The sequence below is a fragment of the Homo sapiens genome, chromosome 2 (assembly GCF_000001405.40).
Source record: "Homo sapiens chromosome 2, GRCh38.p14 Primary Assembly".
Classification (NCBI taxonomy): domain Eukaryota; kingdom Metazoa; phylum Chordata; class Mammalia; order Primates; family Hominidae; genus Homo; species Homo sapiens.
This window is the reverse complement of record NC_000002.12, coordinates 63,188,823-63,216,350: the sequence shown is the minus strand read 5'-3', so window position 1 is coordinate 63,216,350 and position 27,528 is coordinate 63,188,823. Positions and strand designations below refer to the sequence as shown.

The 27,528-nt window shown below is 37.6% G+C and overlaps 1 protein-coding gene and 1 long non-coding RNA gene across 20 annotated transcripts in view; one reads left to right on the top strand and one right to left on the bottom strand.

Annotated features, from left to right (window-relative positions):
• WDPCP (WD repeat containing planar cell polarity effector) overlaps positions 1-27,528 on the top strand; it is a 721,268-nt gene that overhangs the window by 624,476 nt on the left and 69,264 nt on the right. For 2 of the 19 annotated variants that reach the window (XR_007076380.1, XR_007076379.1), the window contains one exon: positions 6,695-6,928. The exons of 16 other annotated variants lie outside the window; for them this stretch is intronic. Coding sequence is in view for 1 of the 3 variants with exons in the window: in XM_011532887.4 (XP_011531189.1) it covers positions 6,695-6,712 (18 nt within the window). In the remaining 2 variants the exon portion in view is untranslated. Of the gene's footprint in view, positions 1-6,694; positions 6,929-27,528 lie in introns of those variants that run through there. One more of the 19 variants, XM_011532887.4, reaches the window with a different exon arrangement.
• On the bottom strand, positions 15,116-21,817 carry LOC107985769 (uncharacterized). The gene is made up of 3 exons (XR_001739097.2): positions 21,686-21,817; positions 19,121-20,229; positions 15,116-15,155 (listed from the first exon to the last, which is right to left on the bottom strand). It is a non-coding gene; the product is annotated as an uncharacterized LOC107985769 (long non-coding RNA).

Sequence of the window (27,528 nt, the reverse complement as noted above, 5' to 3'; positions counted from 1 at the left end):
TGTGCCACATTTTCTTAATCCAGTCTATCATTGTTGGACATTTGGGTTGGTTCCAAGTCTTTGCTATTGTGAATAGTGTTGCAATAAACATACGTGTGCATGTGTCTTTATAGCAGCATGATTTATAATCCTTTGGGTATATGCCCAGTGATAGGATGGCTGGGTCAAATCGTATTTCCAGTTCTAGATCCTTGAGGAATTGCCACACTGACTTCCACGATGGTTGAACTAGTTTACAGTCCCACCAACAGTGTAAAAGTGTTCCTATTTCTCCACATCCTCTCCAGCACATGTTGTTTCCTGACTTTTTAATGATCGCCATTCTAACTGGTGTGAGATGGTATCTCATTGTGGTTTTGATTTGCATTTCTCTGATGGCCAGTGATGACGAGCATTTTTTCATGTGTCTTTTGGCTGCATAAATGTCTTCTTTTGAGAAATGTCTGTTCATATCCTTTGCCCACTTTTGGATGGGGTTGTTTTTTTCTTGTAAATTTATTTGAGTTCTTTGTAGATTCTGGATATTAGCCCTTTGTCAGATGAGTAGATTGCAAAAATTTTCTCCCATTCTGTAGGTTGCCTGTTCACCCTGATGGTAGTTTCTTTTGCTGTGCAGAAGCTCTTTAGTTTAATTAGATCCCATTTGTCAATTTTGGCTTTAGTTGCCATTGCTTTTGGTGTTTTAGACATGAAGTCCTTGCCCATGCCTATGTCCTGAATGGTACTGCCTAGGTTTTCTTCTAGGGTTTTTATGGTTTTAGGTCTAACATTTAAGTCTTTAAATCCATCTTGAATTAATTTTTGTATAAGGTGTAAGGAAGGGATCCAGTTTCAGCTTTCTACATATGGCTAGCCAGTTTTCCCAGCACCATTTATTAAATAGGGAATCCTTTCCCCATTTCTTGTTTTTGTCAGGTTTGTCAAAGATCAGATGGTTGCAGATATGCGGTATTATTTCTGAGGGCTCTGTTCTGTTCCATTGTTCTATATCTCTGTTTTGGTACCAGCACCATGCTATTTTGGTTACTGTAGCCTTGTAGTATAGTTTGAAGTCAGGGTTATTTCTGAGGGCTCTGTTCTGATCCATTGGTCTATATCTCTGTTTTGGTTACTGTAGCCTTGTAGTGTAGTTTGAAGTCAGGTAGCATGATGCCTCCAGCTTTGTTCTTTTTGCTTAGGATTGTCTTGGCAATGCGGGCTCTTTTTTGGTTCCATGTGAACTTTAAAGTAGTTTTTTCCAATTCTGTGAGGAAAGTCATTGGTAGCTTGATGGGGATGGCCTTGAATCTATAGATTACCTTGGGCAGTATGGCCATTTTCATGATATTGATTCTTCCTATCCGTGAGCATGGAATGTTCTTCCATTTGTTTGTGTCCTCTTTTATTTTGTTGAGCAGTGGTTTGTAATTCTCCTTGAAGTGGTCCTTCCCATCCCTTGTAAGTTGGATTCCTAGGTATTTTATTCTCTTTGAAGCAATTGTGAATGGGAGTTCCCTCATGATTTGGCTCTCTGTTTGTCTGTTATTGGTGTACAGGAATGCTTGTGATTTTTGCACATTGATTTTGTATCCTGAGACTTTGCTGATGTTGCATATCAGCTTAAGGAGATATTCGGCTGAGATGATGGGGTTTTCTAAATATACAATCATGTCATCTGCAAACAGGGACAACTTGACTTCCTCTTTTACTAATTGAATACCCTTTATTTCCTTCTTTTGCCTGACTGCCCTGGCCAGTACTTCCAACACTATGTTGAATAGGAGTGGTGAGAGAGGGCATCTCTGTCTTGTGCCAGTTTTCAAAGGGAATGCTTCCAGTTTTTGCCCATTCAGTATGATACTGGCTGCGGGTTTGTCATAAATAGCTCTTATTATTTTGAGATACATCCCATGAATACCTAGTTTATTGAGAGTTTTTAGCGTGAAGCACTGTTGAATTTTGTCGAAGGCCTTTTCTACATCTATTGAGATAATCATGTGGTTTTTGTCTTTGGTTCTGTTTATCTAATGGATTATGTTTATTGATTTGCATATAATGAACCAGCCTTGCATCCCAGGGATGAAGCCCACTTGATCATGGTGGATAAGCTTTTTGATGTGCGGCTGGATTCGGTTTGCCTGTATTTTATTGAGGATTTTTGCATCAATGTTCATCATGGATATTGGTCTAAAATTCTCTTTTTTTGTTGTGTCTCTGCCAGGCTTTGGTATCAGGATGATGCTGGCCTCACAAAATCAGTTAGGGAGGATTTCCTCTTTTTCTATTGACTGGAACAGTTTCAGAAGGCATGGTACCAGCTCCTCTTTGTACCTCAGGTAGAATTCGGCTGTGAATCCATCTGGTCCTGGAGTTCTTTTGGTTGGTAGGCTATTAATTATTGCCTCAATTTCAGAGCCTGTTATTGGTCTATTCAGGGATTCAACTTCCTCCTGGTGTATTCTTGGGAGGGTGTATGTGTACAGGAATTTATCCATTTCTTCTAGATTTTCCAGTTTATTTGTGTAGAGGTGTTCATAGTATTCTCTGAGGGTAGTTTGTATCTCTGTGGGATCGGTGTTGATATCCCCTTTATCATTTTTGTTGTGTCTATTTAATTCTTCGTCTTTTCTTCTTTATTAGTCTTGCTAGCAGTCTATCAATTTTGTTGATCCTTTCAAAAACCCAGCTCCTGGATTCATTGATTTTTTGAAGGGTTTTTTGGTTCTCTGTCTCCTTCAGTTCTGTTCTGTTCTTAGTTATTTCTTGCCTTGTGCTCGCTTTTGAATGTGTTTGCTCTTGCTTCTCTAGTTCGTTTAATTGTGATGTTAGGGTGTCAATTTTAGATCTTTCCTGCTTTCTCTTGTGGGCATTTAGTGCTATAAGTTTCCCTCTCCACACTGCTTTAAATGTGTCCCAGAGATTCTGGTATGTTGTGTGTTTGTTCTCATTGGTTTCAAAGAACATCTTTATTTCTGCCTTCATTTCATTATATACCCAGTAGTCATTCAGGAGAAGGTTGTTCAGTTTCCATGTAGTTGAGCGGTTTTGAGTGAGTTTCTTAATCCTGAGTTCTAGTTTGATTGCCCTGTGGTCTGAGAGACAGTTTGTTATAATTTCTGTTCTTTTACATTTGCTGAGGAGTGCTTTACTTCCAACTATGTGGTCAATTTTGGAAAAAGTGCGATGTGGTGCTGAGAAGAATGTATATTCTGTTGCTTTGGGGTGAAGAGTTCTGTAGCTGTCTATTAGGTCCACTTGGTGCAGAATTGAGTTCAATTCCTGGATAATTTTGTTAACTTTCTGTCTCATGGATCTGTCTAATGTTGACAGTGGGGTGTCTGAGTCTCCCATTATTATTGTGTGGGAGTCTAAGTCTCTTTGTAGGTCTCTAAGGACTTGCTTTATGAATCTGGGTGCTCCTGTACTGGGTGCATATATATTTAGGATAGTTAGCTCTTCTTGTTGAATTGATCTCTTTACCATTATATAATTGCCTTCTTTGTCTCTTTTGATCTTTGCTGGTTTAAAGTCTGTTTTATCAGAGACTAGGATTGCAACCCCTGCTTTTTTTTTTTTTGTTTTCCATTTTTGTGGTAGATCTTCCTCCATCCCTTTATTTTCAGGCTATGTGTGTCTCTGAACGTGAAATGGGTCTCCTGAATACAGCACATTGATGGGTCTTGACTCTTTATCCAATTTGCCAGTCTGTGTCTTTTAATTGGGGCATTTAGTCCATTTACATGTAAGGTTAATATTGTTATGTGTGAATTTGTTCCTGTCATTATGATGTTAGCTGGTTATTTTGCTCGTTAGTTGATGCAGTTTCTTCCTAGCATCGATGGTCTTTACAATTTGGCATGTTTTTGCAGTGGCTGGTACCATTTCTTCCTTTCCATGTTTAGTGCTTCCTTCAGGAGCTCTTGTAAGGCAGGCCTGGTGGTGACAAAATCTCTCAGCATTTGCTTGTCTGTAAAGGATTTTATTTCTCCTGCACTTATGAAGCTTATTTTGGCTGGATATGAAATTCTGGGTTGAAAATTCTTTTCTTTAAGAATGTTGAATATTGGCCCCCACTCTCTTCTGGCTTGTAGAGTTTCTGTGAAGAGATCTGCTGTTAGTCTGATGGGCTTCCCTTTGTGGGTAACCCAACATTTCTCTCTGGTTGCCCTTAACATTTTTTCCTTCATTTCAACTTCGGTGAATCTGACAATTTTGTGTCCTGGAGTTGCTCTTCTCGAGGAGTATCTGTGGCGTTCTCTGTATTTCCTTAATTTGAATGTTGGCCTGCCTTGCTAGCTGGAGAAGTTCTCTTTGATAATATCCTCAAGAGTGTTTTCCAAGTTGGTTCCATTCTCCCTGTCACTTTCAGATACACCAATCAGACGTAGATTTGGTCTTTTCACATAGTCCCCATATTTCTTGGAGGCTTTGTTCATTTCTTTTTACTCTTTTTTCTCTGAACTTCTCTTCTCGCTCCATTTCATTCATTTGATCTTCAATCACTGATACCCTTTATTCCACTTGATCGAATTGGCTACTGAAGCTTGTGCACGCATCACATAGTTCTCGTGCCATGGTTTTCAGCTCCATCAGGTCATCTAAGGTCTTCTCTACACTGTTGATTCTAGTTAGCCATTCGTCCAGTATTTTTTCAAGGTTTTTAGCTTCTTTGCGATGGGTTCAAACTTCCTCCTTTAGCTCAGAGAAGTTTGTTATTACCGATTTTCTGAAGCCTTCTTCTCTCAACTCGTCAAAGTCATTCTCCATCCAGCTTTGTTCTGTTGCTGGCAAGGAGCTGTGTTCCTTTGGAGGAGAAGAGGCACTCTGATTTTTAGAATTTTCAGCTTTTCTGCTCTGGTTTCTCCCTATCTTTGTGGTTTTATCTACCTTTGGTATTTGATGATGTTGACGTACAAATGGGGTTTTGGTGTGGATGTCCTTTCTGTTTGTTAGTTTTCCTTCTAAAAGTCAGGACCCTCATCTGCAGGTCTGTCGGAGTTTGCTGGAGGTCCACTCCAGACCCTGTTTGCCTGGGTATCACCAGCGGAGGCTGCAGAGCCATAAATATTGCAGAATGGCAAATGTTGCTGCCTGATCCTTCCTCTGGAAGCTTCGTCTCAGAGGGGCACCTGGCCGGCTGTATGAGGTGTCAGTCAGCCCCTACTCAGCGATGCCTCCCAGTTAGGCTACTCGGGGGTCAGGGACCCACTTGAGGAGGCAGTCTGTCCATTCTCAGATCTCAAACTCCATGCTGGGAGAACCACTACTCTCTTCAAGGCTGTCTGACAGGGACGTTTAAGTCTGCAGAAGTTTCTGCTGCCTTTTGTTCAGCTATGCCCTGCCCCCCAGAAGCAGAGTCTACAGAGGCAGGCAGGCCTCCTTGAGCTGCAGTGGGCTCCACCCATTTCGAGCTTCCTGGCTGCTTTGTTTACCTAGTCAAGCCTCAGCAATGGCGGGTGTCCCTCCCCCAGCCTTGCTGCCCCCTTGCAGTTTGATCTCAGACTGCTGTGCTAGCAGTGAGCAAGGCTCCGTGGGCATGGGACCTGCCAATCCAGGCATGGAATATAATCTCCTGGTGTGCCATTTGCTAAGACCATTGGAAAAGCGCAGTATTAGGGTGGGAGTGATCTGATTTTCCAGGTGCCGTCTGTCATGGCTTCCCTTGGCTGGGAAAGGGAATTCCCTGACCCCTTGCACTTCCTGGGTGAGGCAATGCCTTGCCCTTCCTCGGCTCACAGTCCATGGGCTGCACCCACTGTCCTGCACCCACTGTCTGACAAGCCCCAGTGAGATGAACCCAGTACCTCAGTTGGAAATGCAGAAATCACCTGTCTTCTGCATCACTCACGGTGGGAAATGTAGACTGGAGCTGTTCCTATCCCGCCATCTTGGAACTTCCCCCTACATTAACTATTTTAAATGAGTTTTAAATGTGTGTAAAGTTAATTTACACAAATTTTAATTTAAAAAATTTTAATTTGTGTAAATTAATTACACCAAAGAAGTTTTAATCTGTGAAACTTTTAATTTTAAATTACATTTAATTTTTTGAATAATAAATACACACATGGCTCAGAATTCCAAAGGTTTCTAGTTAAAGGGTCTACTGCCAAACTTGTTCTGTAGTCATCCAGTCTTCTCTTCAGAGGCAAATAATGTTAACTGTTAGAAACCTAACAGCCTATATTAGGTTTGCAATTACATATGTATATTCTGTAAATATATAACATTTATAATTTTATATGTATATTAATTTTATCTTAATTTTATAGCATAGCCATTGTTTTCAAAATGTACTCTTCTTTCTAATGACAAGTTAATACATTCACATTACATAAAACTCAAACATTTAGAAAATAAGAGATCTGTATAATGCCACCAACCAGAAAAGGAATCTTAACACAGTACATATTTTCTAGCTTTTCCCCTTTCACATATTTTTAACAAAATATAATCATGCTTCCTGTTTTGCAAAATGACTTTTTAAAAATTTAACAAAATATTTTGGAACGCTATATGTCAGTATACGTTGACTGACCCCTTCTCTTTTTTATAGCTATATTATTCAATTGTATGAATATATTACAATTTAATCAGTATCCAATTAGTGGGTGTTTGGATTATTCCTTGTTTTTACTAAAATCTGTGCTGCTAGATAATTCTAAAAAGATGCTGTCATTGAAGTATTTTAATCCCCTGGAACCTCTCTTAACAGAAAGAGCAACTACAATAATGAACACCAATATCCATGGACAGCATCTACAACAAGCTTTAGTGACAACATATTCTTATAAACCCCAAAACATAAGTGGACAGGGATAAATCACCAACAGCTACAGGACCCACTAAAAACTTCATGAGGTCTAGAGGGTCCACAGTGGGTGTTGAAGCAATGTGATTTCTGTGCAGTCCTCTGAATGCCAACATGAAAAAATTCAATGAGGCTCAGGTAAGTGGCAGTAGCAACTATAGGTCTCTCAAGGAACCCTAAAGCTTGGTCATTTAATTAGTGACACGCATGAATGGATGACCAAGATTCCTACTGTTCCTACCTACTGTCCAGTGAAACCTCAGCCAAGGGAATGAGTATGGCAGAAACAGCTATGAAAGGTGAACAATAAGTGTGAGGGAGAACATTTATTCTATTTTATGGAATAAAGTGTTATGCAATTCTACAGTTACAAAAAGTAAAATAATTAGAGGCACCCCTGTGAAGGAGTGGGATGGAGGCAGCCTTTTGGGCTGCCTGTGAAATATATCACTACTCTTACTGTTTTTGTTTTTGTTTTTTACTGGCCCAGTATGGGGAGAGTAGAAAGCAAGCCCTAATGGGCTGTTACTTCTGGCTGTAAGCACCCAGTCACACCAGCCAGATACAACCCTTGCCAGAGCCAGGGCCAAATGGGGAGTTAAACTGGGGGGAAGCAGTGTGGGAGGGTGCAGGTATACCTATGAAATAATAATGCAGGTGTTCCAAGGCAAGCTCAGGGAGGGTATAAACCTCCTATGGAGCAGAAGGGCAAAAGCTGACTTGATCTTGATTTTCAGTATAAATACAGACCATGAAAGCAGAGTCTCACACAAACAAAAATAACAACAACAACAGCTTCATGGGAGAAACACACGGAAGGTAGGGGGACTTCTAATGGTCCAGACAGATGAAAACTTCAACTACTAATTGGAAGATTTTGTGAAGTCATTCTCAGAACAGCAGCAGAAAATAGAGATGATTCTGTAGATTCCAATTTGTGGATACAAGAAAACTGTAGAAAGTATGGAGGTGCTGGGATGGTCTAGATTCTGGATCCTATAAATGCTTAAGACTAACAAATCAAAATAATCTTTCTAGATGAATCCCCAAACTTAGGAGAAACAGTTCAGAGTAGAGCCCAAATTGAGCACACCAGGCACAATGGGGGAAAAGGAAAAAGAATGTAGAAATTAAAGGGGTAAAATAGAAGACCATATTTTTCTCTATATGATGAACACAACAAACTCAGAAGCTCCAGACCTATGCAGATAAGAAAGCTTTCTTGGCACACTCACCCCCTTAAAGGTACAGAAAAGGCAGTTTTCCATAAAAATGAACAAGAACAAAGGGTTGCAATCACATCTCATACAAAGCAGCATTTGAAAAACAGAATAAGAATAATAATTTCCCTATCAACAATGAAAGCACTCTAGAAAGACATGCCCACAAATAGATGAGAATTGACCCCAATATTTTAAAATAATCTTAAATACAGTGATATAAGTTATGAAAGAATAATGTAAATAAGGATAACAAACTCAGAGGTGATTAAAGAAGATTTTTTAGAGAATGAAAGAATAAGAAACAAAAAAATCATGTTAGAAATGAACATTAACTTAGAAGGATCACAAGACTAAGTAAACACAATTGCTTATGATAACTAGAGAATTTAAAAGAGGAAACACTTAAAAATGAAAGATAAATGAAAATGGACTCAAGAAAAAGTGCTAGAGAAAGATGATAGGCAAAGAAGATCCAACATACATAAAATGAGAATTCCTAGAGAAGAAAAACCAACGCAATACAGCAGAATCCTGAAAAACTCTTAAGAAAAATTTCCTGAAATAGAAAAAAACTTTATAGTAGTAATGAAAGAGCACATCATGACCTGGAAACACCAGCCCAAGTTGGTCGACATCAAGACATATTCTAATGAAATCCTCTGAGCATTCAGATGAAAAGACCAAGTTCTTATAAATGAATGAAAATGGATTATGATCACTTTTTGTCAGCAACACTTTATGCCAGAACGCAATACAGAAATATATTTAAGATACTCAAGAAAAAGGTGAGCCAAAACGACCTATTTGCATTAGGTCCATTCTCACATTGCTATAAAGAACTACCAGAGACTGGGTAATTTATTAAGGAAAGAGGTTTAATTGACTCATAGTTCCGCAGGCTGTACAGGAGGCATGGCTGGGGAGGCCTCAGGAAACTTACAATCAGGGTGGTAGGGTGAAGGGGAAGCAAGCTCCTTCTTCACATGGTGGAGAGGGAGAAAGAGAGTGAAGGGGGAGGTGCTACAGAAACAACCAAATCTTGTGAGAACTCACTGTCATGAGTTTGACATGAGATTTGGGTGAGGACACACAGTCAAACCATATCACTATTATTTCCATGAGCCACTACTAGGAAATCTATTGGATAATGAGATTCAAACAGCCAACATGACTTGAGACATCTATGTAAGGACTAGTGATAAGCATAATAAATACATCTACATTTAAAACTAACTGATGAAGCCAGTCACAAAAGGGTAAATACTATATGATTCCAGTCATATGAAGTAACTACAGTGGTCATAACTCATAGAAACAAAGTGGTGGTTGTCAAGAGCTGGAGAAAAGGGAGGAGGAGAATTAGTTTTTAATGGGTTTCAGTTTTGCAAGATTAAAAAGAAGTTCAAGCAATTTGTTGCCCATCAATGTGAGTATAGTCAACACTACTGAAGTATTCACTTAAGAAAAGTTACTATCTTAACCATTTTTATGGGTTTTTTACCACAGTAAATGAAAAACTATTAGCTTGTAAGTAAATTAAAAATAAAACTAAATGATGGTTAAAGTGAGATAATGATACAACCCAAAACAAATAAAAATATAGGGAGAATAAGAAGAGTAGAATAAAAATACAATAAGTGGGATGCTGAGACAGGAGGATCACTTGAGCCCAGCCTGCGCAACATGGCAAAACTCCATCTCTATAAAAAGTACAAAAATTAGCCAGGCATGGTGGCACACTCCTGTACTCCCAGCTTCTCAGGAGGCTGATGTGGGAAAATTGCATGAGTCCAGGAGGTCAAGGCTGCAGTGAGCCATGAGCCACTGCACTCCAGCCTGGATGACAGAGTGAGACTGTGTCTCAAAGAAAATGAAAAAAATAAAATTAATAAAGGACTGCCTTACAGATGCTGGCTAGAAACAAGAAGTGTATTACTTCATATCTGACACTGGGAGAGAAAAAGGATAAAGGGGGAAATTGGTTACTAATTCGAGTAATGCTCATAGTAGAGAACCAACAGACAGTACTCCTCTAAAAATGACAGGAAAAAAAGAAAGCAACTGGTGAATATCTCTGATGAATATTGATGCAAAAATCCTCAACAAAATACTAGCAAACCAAATTGAACAATACATTAAAAAGAGCGTTCATCATGACCCAGTGAAATTTATTCCTGGGAGGAAAGGATGGTTCAAAATACACAGATCAATGAATGTGATACATCATATCAACAGAATGAAAGACAAAAGCCGTATGATCATTTTCATTTGATGCCAAAAAAGCATTTGATAAAATTCAACATCACTTCAGGATAAAAACCATCAAAAATGGTGTAGAAAGAATATACCTCAGCTTAATAAAAGCCATATATGACAGACCCACAGCTGGTAACATACCGAATGAGAAAAAAACGAAAGCCTTTCCTCTAAGTATGGGGACACAACAAGGATGCCCGCTTTCACCACTGTTACTCAACATAGTACTGGAGGTCTTAGCAAGAGCAATCGGACAAGAGAAAGAAATAAAGGGCATCCATATTGGAAAGGAAGAAGTCAAACTGTCCTTGTTTGCAGATGCTATGATCTTACACTTGAAAAAATTTAAAGAATCCACACAAAAGAACTGTGAGAACTGATAAATTCAGTGAAGCTGCGGGTTACAAAATCAACCTACAAAAATCAGTAGCATTTCTATATCCCAACAATGAACAATGTGAAGAAGAAATTTAAAAAGTAATCCCATTTATAATAGCCACAAATAAAATAAAATACCTAGGAATTAATTTAACCAAAGAAGTGAAAGATCTGTATAATGAAAACTAGAAAACACTGATGAAAGAAATTGAAGAGAACACCAAAAAGTAGAAAGATATTCCATGTTCATGGATTGGAAGAATCAATATTGATAAAATGTCCATACTACCAAAACAATCTACATATTCAATGCAATCCATATCAAAATACCACTGACATCCTTCACAGAAATAGAAAAAAAATCCTAAAATTTACATGGAACCACAAGAGACGCAGAGTAGCCAAAGCAATCCTAAGCAAAAAGAATCATATTACCTTACTTAAAATTATACTACAGAGCTATAGTAACCAAAACAACATGGTACTGGCATAAAAATAGACATGCAGACCAATGGAACAAAATAGCTAACCAGAAACAAATCCACGCACCTCCAGTGAACTCATTTTCAACAAAGGTGACAAAAGCATACACTGGGGGAAAGACAATCTCTTCAATAAATGGTACTGGGAAAACTGGATATCCATATGTAGAAGAATGAAACTAAACCTGTATCTCTTGCCATATACAAAAATCAAAATAAAATGACTGAAGACTTAAATCTACAACCTCAAACTAATACAAGAAAATATTGGGGAAATGCTCCAGGGCATTGGTCTGGGTAGAAACTTCTTAAGTAATACCCCACAAGCACAGGTAACTAAAGCAAAAATGGACAAATGGGATCATATCAAGTTTAAAAGCTTCTACCCAGCAAAGGAAACAATCCACAAAGTGAAGAGACAAGCCACAGAATGGGGGAAAATACCGCAAACTACCCATCTCACAAGGGATTAATAACCAGAATATATAAGGAATTTAAACAACTCTGTATGAAAAAAAACATGTAATAATCCTATTTAAAAATGAGCTAAAGATTTAAATAGACATTTCTCAAAAGTACAGGCCAGGCGCAGTGGCTCATGCCTGTCATCCCAACACTTCGGGAGGCTGAGGCGGGCAGATCACCTGAGTTCAGGAGTTTCAGACCAGCCTGGCCAACATGGTGAAACCCCGACTCAACTAAAAATACAAAAATTATCCGGGCGTGGTGGCAGGTGCCTGTAATCCCAGCTACTCGGGAGGCTGAGGCAAGAGAATCGCTTGAACCTTGGAGGTGGAGGTTGCAGTGAGCCAAGACTGCACCATTGCACTCCAGCCTGGGTGACCAGAGTGAGACTCTGTCTCAAAAAAAAAAAAAAAAAAAAAAGGCAAACGGGCATATAAAAATGTGCTCAACATCACTGATCATCAGAGAAATGCAAATCAAAACTACAGTGGGATATCATCTCACCCCAATTAAAATGGCTATTATCCAAAAGACAGGTAATAAGAAAAGCTGGTGAGGATGTGGAGAAAAGGGAAAACTCATACACTGTTGGTGGGAATGTAATTTAGTACAACCACTGTGGAGAACAGGTTGGAGGTTCCTCAAAAAACTAAAAATAGAGCTACCACATGAGTCAACAATCCCACTGCTGGGTATCTACTCAAAAGAAGGTACATTAGTCTATCAAAGAGATATCTGCACTCCCATGTTTGTTGCAATGTTGTTCACAGGAGCCAAGACTTGGAAGCAACCTAAGTGTCCATCAGCAGATGAATGGATAAAGAAAATGTATATATGCACAATGGCATACTATTCAGCCATAAAAAAGAATGAGATCCTGTTATCTGCAACAACACGGATGGAACTGGATGAAATAAGCCAGGCACAGAGAGACAAACTTCTCATGTTCTCATTTATAAGAGCTAAAAATTAAAATGATGGAACTCAGAGAGAGTAGAAGGATGAAAGACAAACTTCTCATGTTCTCACTTATTTATAAGAGCTAAAAATTAAAATAATTGAACTCAGATAGCGTAGAAGGATGGTTACCAGAGGCTGGGAAGGGTAATGGAGGTAGCGGGGAAGTGAGGATGGTTATTGGGTACAACAAAATAGAATGAATAAGACCTAGTATTTGCTAGCACAACACAGTGTCTATGGTAAAAAATAGTTGTACATTTTAAAATAACTAAAAGAGCATAATTGGATTGTAAAATAGAGAGTAGAAGGATGGTTACCAGAGCTGGGAAGGGTTAGTGGGGAGTTGGAGATGGTTAATACATACCAAAAAAAGATAGTTAGAAATAATGAATAAGACATAGTATTTGACAGCACAGCAGGGTGACTTTAGTCAATAATAATTTAATTGTACACTTTAAAATGACTAAAAGAGTATAATTGGATTGTTTGTAATAGAAAGGATAAATGCCTGAGGTGATGGATACCCCATTTCCACAATGTGATTATTATACATTGCATGCCTGTTTCAGAACATCTCATATACTCTGTAAAGATCTATACCTACTATGTACCCACAAAAATTTTTTTTAAAATTAATAAAAAAGACAGGTGCCAAGGGTATTATATAAAGCAACTGATATAAATGCAACTATTGGAATAAATACAAACTTTACTAAGTATTAAAAGTTTATACACACACACATATGCACCCCAAATAAGGCAGACAACACAGACTCTGTACGTGTGTACAATGAAACAATATGACAAATTTGAGGCCCGATATAAAGATCTTATCAATGAATGTAAATGGGCTGAACTCACTTATAAAAAGTTCAGATTAGTAACAGAGCAAAATCTAAAACTAGGCTGAATGTAAGATACACAGATAGATACACAGACAAGGGAAGGAAGGAGGAGGAGGAAGAATGAGAGATTGATTTAGAATGGTTGAAAATAAAGGATAAACAAAGATGCAGACAAATGTAATGTGATGCGCAGTCTTGGTATCTGAGAAAGGTATATAATTCAGATCAAAAAGAGACAGAAGGAGGGCTTTCATAATGCTAAATACTACAATTCACAAGGAAGATGTAACGCTTTATGGAATCTCCTAATAACACAGCAACAGCTTTCATTAAGCAGAAGTTACAGGGCTGCAAGTAGAGATAGAAAGAACTGCACTATAAAAGGAAACTTTAACATACCTCTCTCAATTTAAGAAAAATCACGTGGAAAAAAATTATGGAGGAAATAGAAAATCTAAACAACATAATCAATGAGGTAGATCTTTTAGATCTGTAGTAAACTCTGAATTCTGATAATGGAGGATATGCCTTTTTTTAAGTGCTGATGGGAACATTCAGGAAAAGTTGGCCATATCTTAGGCAACAAATGAAACTTCAATCATAAGTCAATTTCAAAGAACAGAAACAATAGAGAAAAATACACCCTGATGTGAAAGCAATAAAATGAGAAATGATTAACAAAATACAATCAAAAGGCCTGCTATGTGGCATCTTAATAACTATTGAATAATTCTTAAACTGCAGAATTTCTTGAAAATAAAACTAAAGAAAATCCTATATATATATAAAATGATTGAGTTATTAGGGTAAAATATATAGTACTTAATGTTTATATCAATAAAAATGAAATTTAAGAAAATCAGAAAATCTTAAAAGCTGTGAAATAGAGCAGTCCTCAAAAAAAAAGGCAGAAGGAAGGACTGAATTAAAAAAGCAGAAATTAATGCTAGAATTTATAGAAGTTAAATCTAGAAAATAGAAAAACAACAGAACTAACAAATCCCAAATTTAGCCACTTGAAAAATGAATCACAAAAATAATCAGCTGTTGGAGGAAGGGAAAAGGCACAAATATACAAAATAGAAATGATGAATAATTACCAAACAGAAAATTTTAAGTATTATAAGAGAATACTTCATACAACTCTATGCAAATATATTTGAAGAGTCACATTGGATGGATAATTTCTAAGAAAATTACGGTTTACCAGACTAACATTAAGTCCTAAATGACAAATTACCTTAGAAGAGAATAAGAAACTTAAAGTGCTCCCCCCACAATAATAGTCCTGGCTCAAAAAGTTTAGTGATGAAATTCTACCTAACCTGTAAAAATCAGATTACCTGTGGTTCTTAAACTTTACTAGAACATTAAAAAAGAGGAAATTGTCAAAATTGATATTATAAAGTACAACATTGATCTAAAACCTTAAAACCTATTGTACTGCAGATCATTCTCACTCAATGAGTATCAGTGTAAAAACTTTTAAGTATTAGCATGTGGAATCCAAAGCACGTTTTTAAAATACTATATCATGACCAAGTGGGGTTTATTCCAGTTTGCAAGTATGATTTTTGTATTTGTCCATTCTCACATTGCTAAAAGGCACTACCTCCTGAGACTGGGTAATTTATAAAGAAAATAGGTTTAATTGACTCACAGTTCTGCAGGCTGTACAGGAAGCATGGCTGGGGAGGCCTCAGGAAACTTATAATCATGGTGGAAGGCAAAGAGGAAGCAGGCATGTCCTACATGTCTGGAGCAGGAGGAAGAGAGTGAAGGTGAAGGTGAAGGTGCCACACACTTTTAAACATCGAGATCTCATGAGAACTCACTCTCTATTATGAGAACAGCAAGGGGGAAATCCTCCCCCATGATCTAATTACCTCCCACCAGGCTCCTCCTCCAACATTGGGAAATACAATTTGACATTAGATTTGGTAGATTTGGGTGATGACACAGACCCAAACCATATCATTTAGCCCCTGGCCCCTCCCATATCTCATGTCCTTCTCACATTTCAAAACACAATCATGCCTTCCTAACAGTCCCCCAAAGTCTTAACTCATCCTCACCTCCCCACTACCCTTCCCAGCTCTAGTAACCATCCTTCTACTGTCTATCTTACATACAATCCAATTATACTCCTTTAGTTATTTTTAAATGTACAATTATTTTTTACCGTAGATACCCTGTTGTGCTAGCAAATACTAGGTCTTATTCATTCTTTCCATTTTGTTGTACCCAATAAACATCCTCACTCTCCCCCACTACCCTTTCCAGCCTCTGGGTTCCTCTGGGTTCTATTCTCTCTGAGTTCCATCATTCTAATTTTTAGCTCTCATAAATAAGTGAACATGATAAGTTTGTCTTTCTGTGCCTGGCTTATTTCATCCACTTCCATCCGTGTTGTTGCAGATAAAAGGATCTCATTCTTTTTTATGGCTGAATAGTATACCATTGTGTATATATACCACATTTTCTTTATCCATTCATCTGCTAATGGACACTTAGGTTGCTTCCAAGTCTTGGCTCCTGTGAACAACATTGCAACAAACATGGGAGTGCAGATATCTCTTTGATAGGCTAATATACCTTCTTTTGAGTAGATACCCAGCAGTGGGATTGTTGAATCATATGGTAGCTCTATTTTTAGTTTTTTGAGGAACCTCCAACCTGTTCTCCATAGTGGATGTACTAAATTACATTCCCACCAACAATGCATGAGTTTTCCCTTTTCTCATCTTAAAAAAGACAAGTCCCTTCCACCTATGAACCTGTAAAATCAAAAACTAGTTACTTCCAAGATACAATGGGGGTACAGGCATTGGATAAATACACCCATTCCAAAAGGGATAAATCAGCCAAAACAAAGGGACTACAGGCCCCATGCAAGTTTGAAACCCACCAGAGCAGTCATTAGCTCTTAAAGCTCCAAAATAATCTCCCTTGACTCCATGTCTCACATCAAGCACATGCTGATGCAAGCAGTGGGCTCCCAAGGCCTTGGACAGCTCTGCCCCTTTGGCTCTGCAGGGCTCAGCTCCCATGGCTGCTTTCATGAGCTGCTGTTGAGTGCCTGTGGTTTTTCCAGGTGCACAGTACAAGTTATTCGTGTATCTACCATTCTGGGGTCTGGGGGATGATGGCCCACTTCTCACAGCTCCACTAGGCAGTGCCCCAGTGGGGACTCTGTGGGTCGGTTGGGGGGCCTCCAACCCCACAGTTCCCATCTGCACTGCTGTAGTAGAAGTTCTCCATGAGGGTCCTGCCCCTGCAGCAGACTTCTGCCTGGACATCCAGGCGTTTCCATACATCCTCTGAAATGTAGGCTGACGTTCCCAAGCCTCAACTCTTACACTGTGCACCTGCAGGCTTAACACCACATGGAAGCCACCAAGGCTTAGGGCTTGTACTCTTCTGAAGCAATGGCCCAAGCTATACCTTGGCTCATTTTAGCCATGGCTGGAGTTGGAACAGCCACAATGAAGGGTGCCATGTCTGGAGGCGGCACAGAGCAGCAGGGCCCCGGGCCTTGCCCACAAAACTATTCTTCCCTCCTAGGCCTCCAGGCTTGTGATAGGAGGGGCTGCTGCAAGGGTCTCTGAAATGCCTTGGAGGCATTTTCCTTATTGTCTTTACTAACATTCAGCTCCTCTTATGCAAATTTCTGCAGCCTCCCAGAAAGTAGATTTTTCTTTTCTACCACATGGTCAGGCTGCAAATTTTGCAAACTTTTACACTCTGCTTCCCCTTTAAATATAAATTCCAGTTTCAGATCATCTCTACTCACTCATATGACCGCACATTGTTAGAAGCAGCTGGGCCAAACCTTGAATGCTTTGCTGCTTAGAAATCCTTCCACCATATACCCTAAATCATGACTCTCAAGTTGAAAGTTCCACAGATCCCCAGAGCAGGGGCACAATGCTGTCAGTCTCTGCTAAAGCATAGCAAGAGTGACTTTACTCCAGTTCCCAGTAAGTTTCCATCTCCATCTGAGACCACCTTAGCCTGGACTTCAACAATTTAACCAGTCTCTAAGAAGCTCCAAACTTTCCCTCATCTTCCTGTCTTCTTCTGAGCCCTCCAAACTGTTCCAACTTCTGCCCACTACCCAGTTCCAAAGTTGCTTCTACATTTTCAGGTATCTTTATAGCAATGCCCCTCTCCCAGTACCACTTTTCTGTATTAGTCCTTTCTCACACTGCTATAAAGAACTATCTGAAACTGGGTAATTTACAAAGTTAAGAGGCCTCAGAAAACTTATAGTCATGGCAGAAGTTGAAGGGCGAGCAGGAGGAAGAGAGTGAAGGTGAAGGTGCCACACATTTTCAAACAATCTGATCTCCTGATAACTCACTCACTATTACTAGAACAGCAAGGGCAAAATCTGCCTCCATGATCCAATCACCTCCCACCAGGCTCTTCCTCCAACACAGGGGATCACCCCTCCCAAAGTTAACTTACAAATTTAACATTATGCATATAAAAATACCATCAGACTGTTTTTCCCTGGCATCCACAAGTTAATTGTAAAATTTATTTGGAAAGCCAATTAAAAAAAAATCTGGGAATATCCTGCAAAAGAATAGTAAAAAGAACCTAGCCCCATAGACATTTAAACATACTGTAAAAACTCTTTAATTAAAATTCCAGAGTATATTGGTATCCCAATGGAAATGAGCAGAAAATCTGTATGGAAATTTAGTGTATGATAAAAGCAGTTCAAATCAGTGGAGAAAAGATGAACTTCAGCTTTTTAATAAATGGAATTTCCATAAGTGTATTAGATTTTTTAATGATAAAATTGGATTCACTCCTCACACCATAATAAATTCCAGAAGGATGAGGGATTTAAATGTAAACAAACGAAACCATATAAGTACTAGAAGAAAACAAAGGTCAACTCTGGTATAACCTGTAAATGGGAGAACCCTTCCTAAAAATGAGCAGTAGACAAAATATCTCCCCTGAGAGATGTTCACATTCTAATCCCTAGAACCTGTCAATATGCTACGTTACATGGCAAAAGGGACTTTGCAGATTTAACTAAGATTACAGAGAAATTATTCTGTATTATCCAGGTGGGCCCAATCTAATTAAATGATCCAGAGAACTTTCTTTGGCTAGGTAAGATGTGGTAGAAAAGGAGGTCTTGCAGCAACATGGATAGAACTGGAGGCCATTATATTAAGTGAAACAAGTCAAACACAGAAAGACAAATATTGCATGTTCTCACTTATAAGTGGGAGCTAAATAATGGCTAGTTTCAGATATGTTGAAATTTCCATAATAAATAATGTATGTTTAATCACAAGCTTCCATAAGTACCCTTATACATATCTTCATGCTCATTCTATTGATGTTTTTTACAGGATGTACTTCAATAGGTAGGCTTTCTAGGCCAAAGAGTATGAATATTTTTATTTTTATTCTTATTAATACTGCCAAATTGCCCTTTTAAAAGTACAACTAACCCTTGAACAAGGTGGGGGTTTAGGGGCACCCCCATGAAGTAGAAAATACATGTATAACTTCTGACTTTACCAAAGCTTAACTACTAGTAGCCAACTGTTGATTGGAAGCATTACCAATAGCATAAGCAATCAATTAACATATGTTTTATGTTATATTATATACTATCTTCTTACAATAGAGTAAGCTAGAAAAAAAGAAAATTTTATTATAAAAATCATAAGGAAGGGAAAATACATTTACCATTAAATGAAAGTGAATTATCATAAAGGTCTTCATCCGTGTTGTCTTTGTGTTGAGTAGGCTGAGAAGGAGGAAGAGGAGGGGTGGGTATTGCTGTCTTGGGGTGGCAGAGGCAGAATACATGAAGGAGGTTGAAGGAGAGGCAAGAGAGAGGTAGGCATACTTGGTGTAACTTTATGGAAATACATCATAATTTGTTTATTTCTTTTTCATTTCTCTAACAATGTTTCTGTATTGTACCAATCCTTCTTCCATTGTTTGCTTTAGTTTCAGTGCTTGTTTCATAGAAGGGTCTGTGTCAGAAGTAGTCAAAAGCAGTCTTGAACAGTCAGAACCCTTCTGCCAGATTGTCTGTCAATTTGTTTTCTGGCACTGGTTCTTCTATGTCTTCTTCCTCATGGTCTGACTACTCATAGTCGGAGGCACTCATGTCTTCCTTACTAATAAATGTCCTTTGTGGCATTTTTTTCCCCAAGAGTCAAGCACTTTTGTCTACATTAAACACCTCAGGTAGATATCCTTTCTTCTCAATGATTTTCTTAATGGTGGCTGAGAACTTGTCTGCTGCTTCTTGGTCAGCAGAAGCTGCTTCTCTTGTTATCTTGATATTTTTAAAGCCAAACACCTGTCTAAAATTATCAGACCATCCTTTGCTGGCATTAAATTCTCCAGCTTTAGATCCTTCACCTTCCTTTTGCTTTAAGTTGTCATATAATGACTTCACATTTTCTCAAATCATTATAGTCTATGGATATGTCTTTCTCATAGGAATCCTGTACCCACATGAAAGCTGTATTTTCAAAACAAGATAAAAGGGTATTTTGCAAAAAGTGCAAGATTTTAGCACCTGCTGGCATAGCTTCAGTGACAGCTTCATGAATTTCCTTTTCCTTTTTTAGAATGGTCCTCATGCTGGATTCATTTATCTTGAAATGGTGAGCAACCACAGCTGCAGATCCCCAGTCCATTGTACATATCAAGCAATTCAACATTATTCAACATTTTCTTGTAACGTCAGGACTTTTCTCTGCTTCTTGGCAGAAATTCCAGCATCACTAGTGGCACTTCACAGGGAACTGATAGTGTTATTCAAGGTTTCTGGTATTGCACTAAATATAATGAAAAATACACAAGAATCACAAAAGATCACTTTTTACTATGATACACAATTTACTTAAGAGACAAACTGCTCATGCATAGATGATTAGCATCATGCAGCATTTTAAGCAGATACTCAAAAACCTCAAATCCACCACAGTAGCAACAGGAGGTGGCTATACAATTATTACAGTAGTACATTATGTGTACTACAGTTAATTTGATGCTATTATGACTTAATGTTCAATCTTTATATTTGTTAACATTTCTTTTGATTGAATGGTTCCATGTATGGTCTATAAGTGTGTGTATACATTTTGATAAATTTTAACTTTTTATAACAGATTGTATTTATCTTAGACTAGTATCTACATGTTTTTTTGAATTCATGAAATATCCTTTTCTTAATTTTTTTGGATATTTTTAGCCTACGTGGTTCATCTGTGAGTTTTTTCAAATTGTCACAAACCTCCAAAAACTTTTTTTTAATATATTTGTTGAAAAAATCTATGTCTGTCCTGGCATGGTGGCTCACGCCTATAACCCTTTGGGAGGCTGAGGCAGGAGGATCACTTAAGCCCAGGAGTTTGAGGCTGCAGTGATCTGTGATCACTGCACTCCAGCCTGGATGCCAGAATGAGACCCTGTCTCAAAAAAAAATCCATGTATAAGTGGACCCATGCAGTTCAAACCCATGTTGTCAAGGGTAAACTGTATTGATTTACCAATAATATGTAAGATGCCCACTTCTAAATGCCACTTCCAACAATCTGAGAGATTACGTGACCTGCTTAAGATCACATGGCAGAGTCTAGAATAAATCTCATAATTATCAGTAATTATTGTTGCCTGACTCAGTACAGTTTATTTGAACAGTTTGTAAATTTGCGTATATGAAACACTGAATAAAAAGGCTCATCAGCCTTTGACTCCTCTACCAATTATAAAAATGTCATCTTGGTTTTGAGTCAATAAAAATTTAAAGAATAAGTGCAAAATAAGTTAAATATTAACTCTAAAAGAAAAAATTTCTGAAATGTAAAGATTAAGTCATTTAATCAAGACTAGTCACTTGTTTATATATTTCCTAGCCCTATATTTAACTATAAAATTACCATACATTTTTGAGAAAATATATTTTAAAAAAACAGTAATAACTAGTATCCTACCAGTACATTTTAGATGTAAAAAACCATCTGATTACTACTGAAATACAATAAACAGATTTTGTGATTCCTGATATTGATTTTATTTTCTACTTGCAACAAGCAATGAAAACTGAAATCTGATCTTGTTTAAGAAAGTTTCTTTTCCTATCAAGTTATGCTGGAATAAACTGGTTCAAATATCTACTTTTTCCTGTGATATGCTTTGATAATATATAGACACTGAAACTCAATGTATCAATCAATACATAGTAATGATAACTGAAAATGAAATTTTTAGAAAATACTTTAATCTCAATACCTTTACATCTCCCCAAAGAATGACTACTTATTTCCATATAGGCACATCAACTCATATCAAAGATTTCTAAGATGAGAAGGGAAAACTCAATGTTAAAGACAAACTTTTGTACATAAATATAACACATTATAATTGCATATTTTTCCTGTTTTGCTTACTTATTTTTCTAATGAAAAGAACTGTCAACAATATATATGTGGGTATTTCTTACACAGGAAGGCATAACTTCCATAGAGATCACATCAACACTTTGAAGTAACTAAGACCAACAGTATGGGACTTCATAACATTTACCCTAAAAGATAAGTTGCCTGTTATCACCCTTTTGGGTCAAGGTAACACTATTTTTTTTTCTTTCTTTCTTTTGATAAGCTGCTGACACTTATTGAACATCCTAACACTTCCTCCATCATCATCTTAGTCTCTTGCCTTCTTCTAGTTCTAAAAAAATGGAAAAATATTATTTTCTTTAAGAGCAGCATGGAAAATACTGTATTTGGAAGGACAACAAAGTGTGAACTAAGTGAACTTGAAGGTAGAAAAAATAATATCAAAACATTTTTAAAGGTTTGTAATAATTCCATAATTTATAGGGATATTTAAAAATGAAAGTATGTGGTTTTCTCAAGCTATTAGTATATCACAGATTTAGAAATCACTACCAGAAGGTTTTCTTTCTTTTCAATCTAATGGTCTTACCAGTAAGTAGAAGTCATTAAATAAATCAGCAAGCTCATGTTATCAAGGATCATGACCAGTATCATTCTTCCATTAACTCAAAATTTCGCAAAAAGCCACCTTCACGTACATATAAACTTTTTTCCTTATGAATAAACCTGGGTTGTAAAAGTTACATATGACTGCTCTATTTTGATAAAATTAATTTTACCCAACAATGCAAATTTTTAATGTTTACTTTTTTAAAAAAAATCACTTAGCTTATATATAAAATATCAAATTACTAGCCTAGGCAACATAGTTAGACCCCATATCTACAAAAGTAATTTAAAAATTAGCCAGGCATGGTGGTTCGTGCTTGTACTTCCAACTACCCAGGAGGCTGAGCTAGGGAGGATTGCTTAAACCTAGCAGTTAGAGGTTGCAGTGAGCTGTGATCATGCCACTGCACTCCAGCCTGGAAAACACAGCAAGGCCTTGTTTCTAAATAAATAAATAATGTCATATGAACAGATAAAGGCATAAAATGCAAATGTTCAGTTACTTTTAAACATTTTTGTTAACATATGTTGGTTTGCTCTCTTGATCTATTTTCCACAACTTCTAATTATTTATATAAGAAACTTGGCTGTAATTCTAGTAGAATATAAAATGCAACTGAGTTCAATAGAGATTCATTCATATGTAACTATCTTCTAAAGACAAAGCTTTTTTTGGAAAAAAATAAAAAACACCTAAAATGTAAAGCTTATTAAAGGATTATGTTTGGGGGTTCCGTAAATTGTTTCCAAGATCAGTATGGAAAATTCTTGTAAACAGTTCAGTTCTTACTCAGCCTGTGTCCTTTTAACTTAAAAGGCTTTGTAGTATAATTGCTGTGTAAATATCAGAATTTTCCATATATTGTGCAATGTACATAAAGAAGTCACCAAATGGCTTATCTTGTACTTATCAACTAGTTTATTTTTATGCCTCCAAAAAGCTGTATTTTTTTACAAGAGCAGCTGCTACTTTGTAAATATTTTAATGGTTTCTGTTAAGTAGAGCTGTCAGTTTAACAAACAATATTATAAAAGATTTTCATTCTTCCATGTGATTGAACATCTTGAAAAGTGTTTTACCTTGAAAATCCTTTGGAGATTTTAGACTGGAAAGGATATCTCCTTTGAAGGCACAAAGCCAACAAAAGAATAGATAGGTTTAAAAAATAATGTATAAGATCACCAGAGAAACAGTGCCATTTATTTCAGAAGACAAATGTATAACAGCAATAAGTTCTCTTAGCTCACTTCTCTTCTTTTGACTTCAGCAGTTTGTTGAAATGGAAGAGCACTGGCTTTGTGCCAGACATTTCAGGTATGAACCTTGATTCTTCTGCCACTTAATAGATATTGGTTTAGAGCAAGCCAATTAACCTCTTTGACCCTCAGTTTCTGTATCTGCAAATGGGGTAATGATACCTACCTTAAAGGGTCATTATGAGAATTAGAGATAATATATGCAAATGGGCTAACTGAATAAAGGTGGCAATTATTATTCTATCCTACCTACCTAGCAACCAGGAGTCTCCCAATCATTCTTTAGTCTTTGTCCTTTACATTTTTTTTCACCCAGCTTATCTCTTCTTTCTTTTTTGTCTACTTCATGGAATTGAAAGTAAGAAATATTTTAGAGATGATCTAATTTAGCACTTTTGTTGAACAAATGAGGAAATAGAAGCTCAGAGAGATTAAATGACTTGTCTAAGATCACAGATAGTTAAACACAGAGATCAGAACCCTGGTCTCCTGAGTTTTTCACTGTTTTCATTCTTGCTGTGAAATGGAATTTGATAAGGTAATTCTAGCCTGGATCTAAAGGAACATGTTAAGATAGGATAGCAAAAAAACAGTGAAAGAGACAAGAAAAGGAAAAAATTTAAAGGGGGGTAAGGAGAGCTTTTCCTTTTGTTCTGCATCAAGGCTGAGCAAATTTTTTAAAGGGCCAGATAGTAACTAGTTTAGGCTTCTCAAGTCATATGGCCTCTATCTCAACTACTCAACTCCGACACTATAGTACAAAAGCAGCCTTAGACAATATGTAAACAAACAAGCATGGCTATGCTCCAATAAAACTTTATTTGGACACTGAAATTTGAATTTCATATAATTTTCACATCTAAAAATATATCTTTCTTGTATTTTTTCAACCATTTGAAAATATAAAAACCATTCTTAGATTGTGGGCCATAAAAAAAACAGATGTAGGGCTGCATTTGGCCCATGTGATCTATAGTTTGATGCCTTTAGAAGTATAAGCCTGATAAGTAGAACAGATATTCAGCCTTGATGTCATAGAAATAATAGAGTTTAATGGGGACTGGGATGAAGTGGAGTGTGCCTGCCCCACTAAAGTGGGCAGTAGCCATTCTGATTAAGGAGACTGTGGCTCTTAGGAATTGGAGGCCAAATACTGCAAAATCTGAGTTTTCAAAAAGCCTGAACACTGGATTTTTATGCTAAATCCCTCCATTTTTTTATGAATTAGGGTAGCTTCCATTGCACAAAACAGAATGAAAGGTCACCTAAATGTCCCAATTTTTTCTTTTTTTTCTTTTGAGATGGAGTCTGGCTCTGTCACCCAGGCTGGAGTGCAGTGGTGCAATCTCAGCTCACTGCAAGCTCCGCCTCCCGGGTTCACGCCATTCTCCTGCCTCAGCCTCCCAAGTAGCTGGGACTACAGGGGCCCGCCACCACGCCTGGCTAATATTTGTAATTTTTAGTAGACACAGGGTTTCACCGTGTTATCCAGGACGGTCTCGATCTCCTGACCTTGTGATCCGCCTGCCTCAGCCTCCCAAAGTGCTGGGATTACAGGCGTGAGCCACCATGCCCAGCCCTAAATGTCCCAATTTTTAAGTGTTGGTAAATAATTCAAAATAGTTGTTAAATACTGTAGATCAAACATCTATAAACTGAATTTGGCACATGGACTCCCAGTCTAAAATCTGTGTTCTAGGAAGACAAAGCAAAATTCTAGGTAATTCATGCTTCCGAGCAATAATTCAAATTTACCCAATTCAGGATCTTTCAGACCAAACACTTAACCTTTCCATAAACTGAACACAAAGGTGATTATAAAGTAATAGGTCATTCAGGCTATAATCACTCCCTATCCCATCCTGTACCCCACCCCCACCAAAATTCTGCTTCTTTGTAGTTCATTAGTTTAAGACATTAAGCTTTGTTTAGTAGGTGGTACCAAAGTACTAGTCACATCTAGAACCTTTCCTGGAATTGAGTACACTCAGTATTATATTTCAAAAATATAATCACATATTATAGCTGTAATCTAAGACTATCAGATTTAAAATAGTTAATATAAATTTTTTTTCTAACTCTTGGTGTCCTTTCTAAAAGTTATAACCATATTAAGTTGCTGCCACTATGGATCTTACTTTCATTTTATATTGAGGAAAACACAATTTAAACATATTTACAAATATAAAGGACCCAAAATATGTCCTTTAGCATCTTCTAAAAACTTTTCTCCTCTACTTTTTTTTTTTTTTTTTTTGAGACAAGGTCTCACCCTGTCACCCAGGCTGGAGTGCAGTGGCATGATCACGGCTCACTGCAGCCCTCAACCTCCCCAGGTCAGGTGCTCCTCCCATTCAGCCTCCCAAGTAGCTGGGAGTACATGTGTCTGCCACCATGCTTGGCTAGTTTTTGTATTTCTTTTTTTTAAGAGATGGGGTTTTGCCATGTTGCCCAAGCTGGTCTTGAACTGCTTGGCTCAAGCAATCCGCCCGCCTCAGCCTCCCAAACTGCTGGGATTATGGGCGTGAGCCACAGCACCCGGCCTCTTCTCTACTTCTATGTTGTCACTATTTGTTTATTTTTTTCTGCCCCCTCTCCCCACCCTGTTATCACACTGTAAGCTCATTAAGGATGGGATTATGTCTGCTTCATCTTTATATCCCCCAATCAGTAAAGATATCTGCACAAAATAGACCTTCAATAAATGTTTGCTTTTAAGAATGAACAATGAAACCTAATTTTCACATTTGAAAATGAAACCATCTAAGAACTCCATTTACTGGTAGAGATACATTTTCATTTTATCTTACTGAATAGCAAAGAGTACAATTGATCCATGTAGTGATATTCTGGAAAATAAGTATGTTAATAGAAGGACCTACTACACTTTTCATCCTTAAAATAGTACTAGCATATCCAAGCAGAATGTATTACAGAAAGTTTTGGGAGGAGACAGTCCATATGCTATATGTATCTTCTAATGGAATATAAAAAGAAATTCAATAACAGTAAGGATTGGGAAAAGGACTCAAGGTGAGAATAAGTACAATGTTTTGTCTGTCAAGGAAAAAGCATTTAGTCCTCACCTGCTGCAGTTTTCAAATATATATATCTATGTAGATCTATATACACACTGTGGAAATAATATACATAAGTGACATTAGCAAGATGGCAGATTAGGAAGCTCCAGGCCCTCATTTTTCTATGGAGACAAATCACCTGTAACATATACATAAAAATAGCTTTGTGATAAATCTAGAAATTAGTTAATGGACTACAGGACTCAGGCAAGTGCAAAAACAAGAGAATGGATGGTGCCTGAGAGGGTAAGAGAGTTCATTGCATTTTGCTTGCCTGACACCTCCCTTGGAACAGAAGAAATAGAGTGAAACTTAAGTCCAGCATGCTAACTTGTTTGTGGGTTGCAGTGCTTTGCTCAGGGAACTGATGAGAATGACAGTTTGCATAGTTTGGGTACAAGATTAGAGGCCACTGAAAACAGAGGTTAATGCCTTAGCATGTTAGACAGGAGAGACTCTGCGGTTCTGCAGGCAGGCTCTAGGGGGAGCAAGAGATTAAGGGCAGAGGACTACAACAGAAACGGCTCCCGCGAAGACACAGGAAAGAAGACAGTCAGAAGCACCCAGATACACTAAAAGTAAACATACAACCCCAAAGAAAACGCATCCCCAGGAAAAATCTGAGAGGTCTTAGAACCTCTAGCCAGCCTGACTGGTCACAGTTTTCCCCTAAGTAAAAGTAGTTCATAAAGATTGAGAAAGGTGGCTGTTTCTTCAAATGCTCAAATCCCAACAAAAGACGACAAGGCATACAAAGAAACGGGACCATGGCCTGACCAAAGGAACA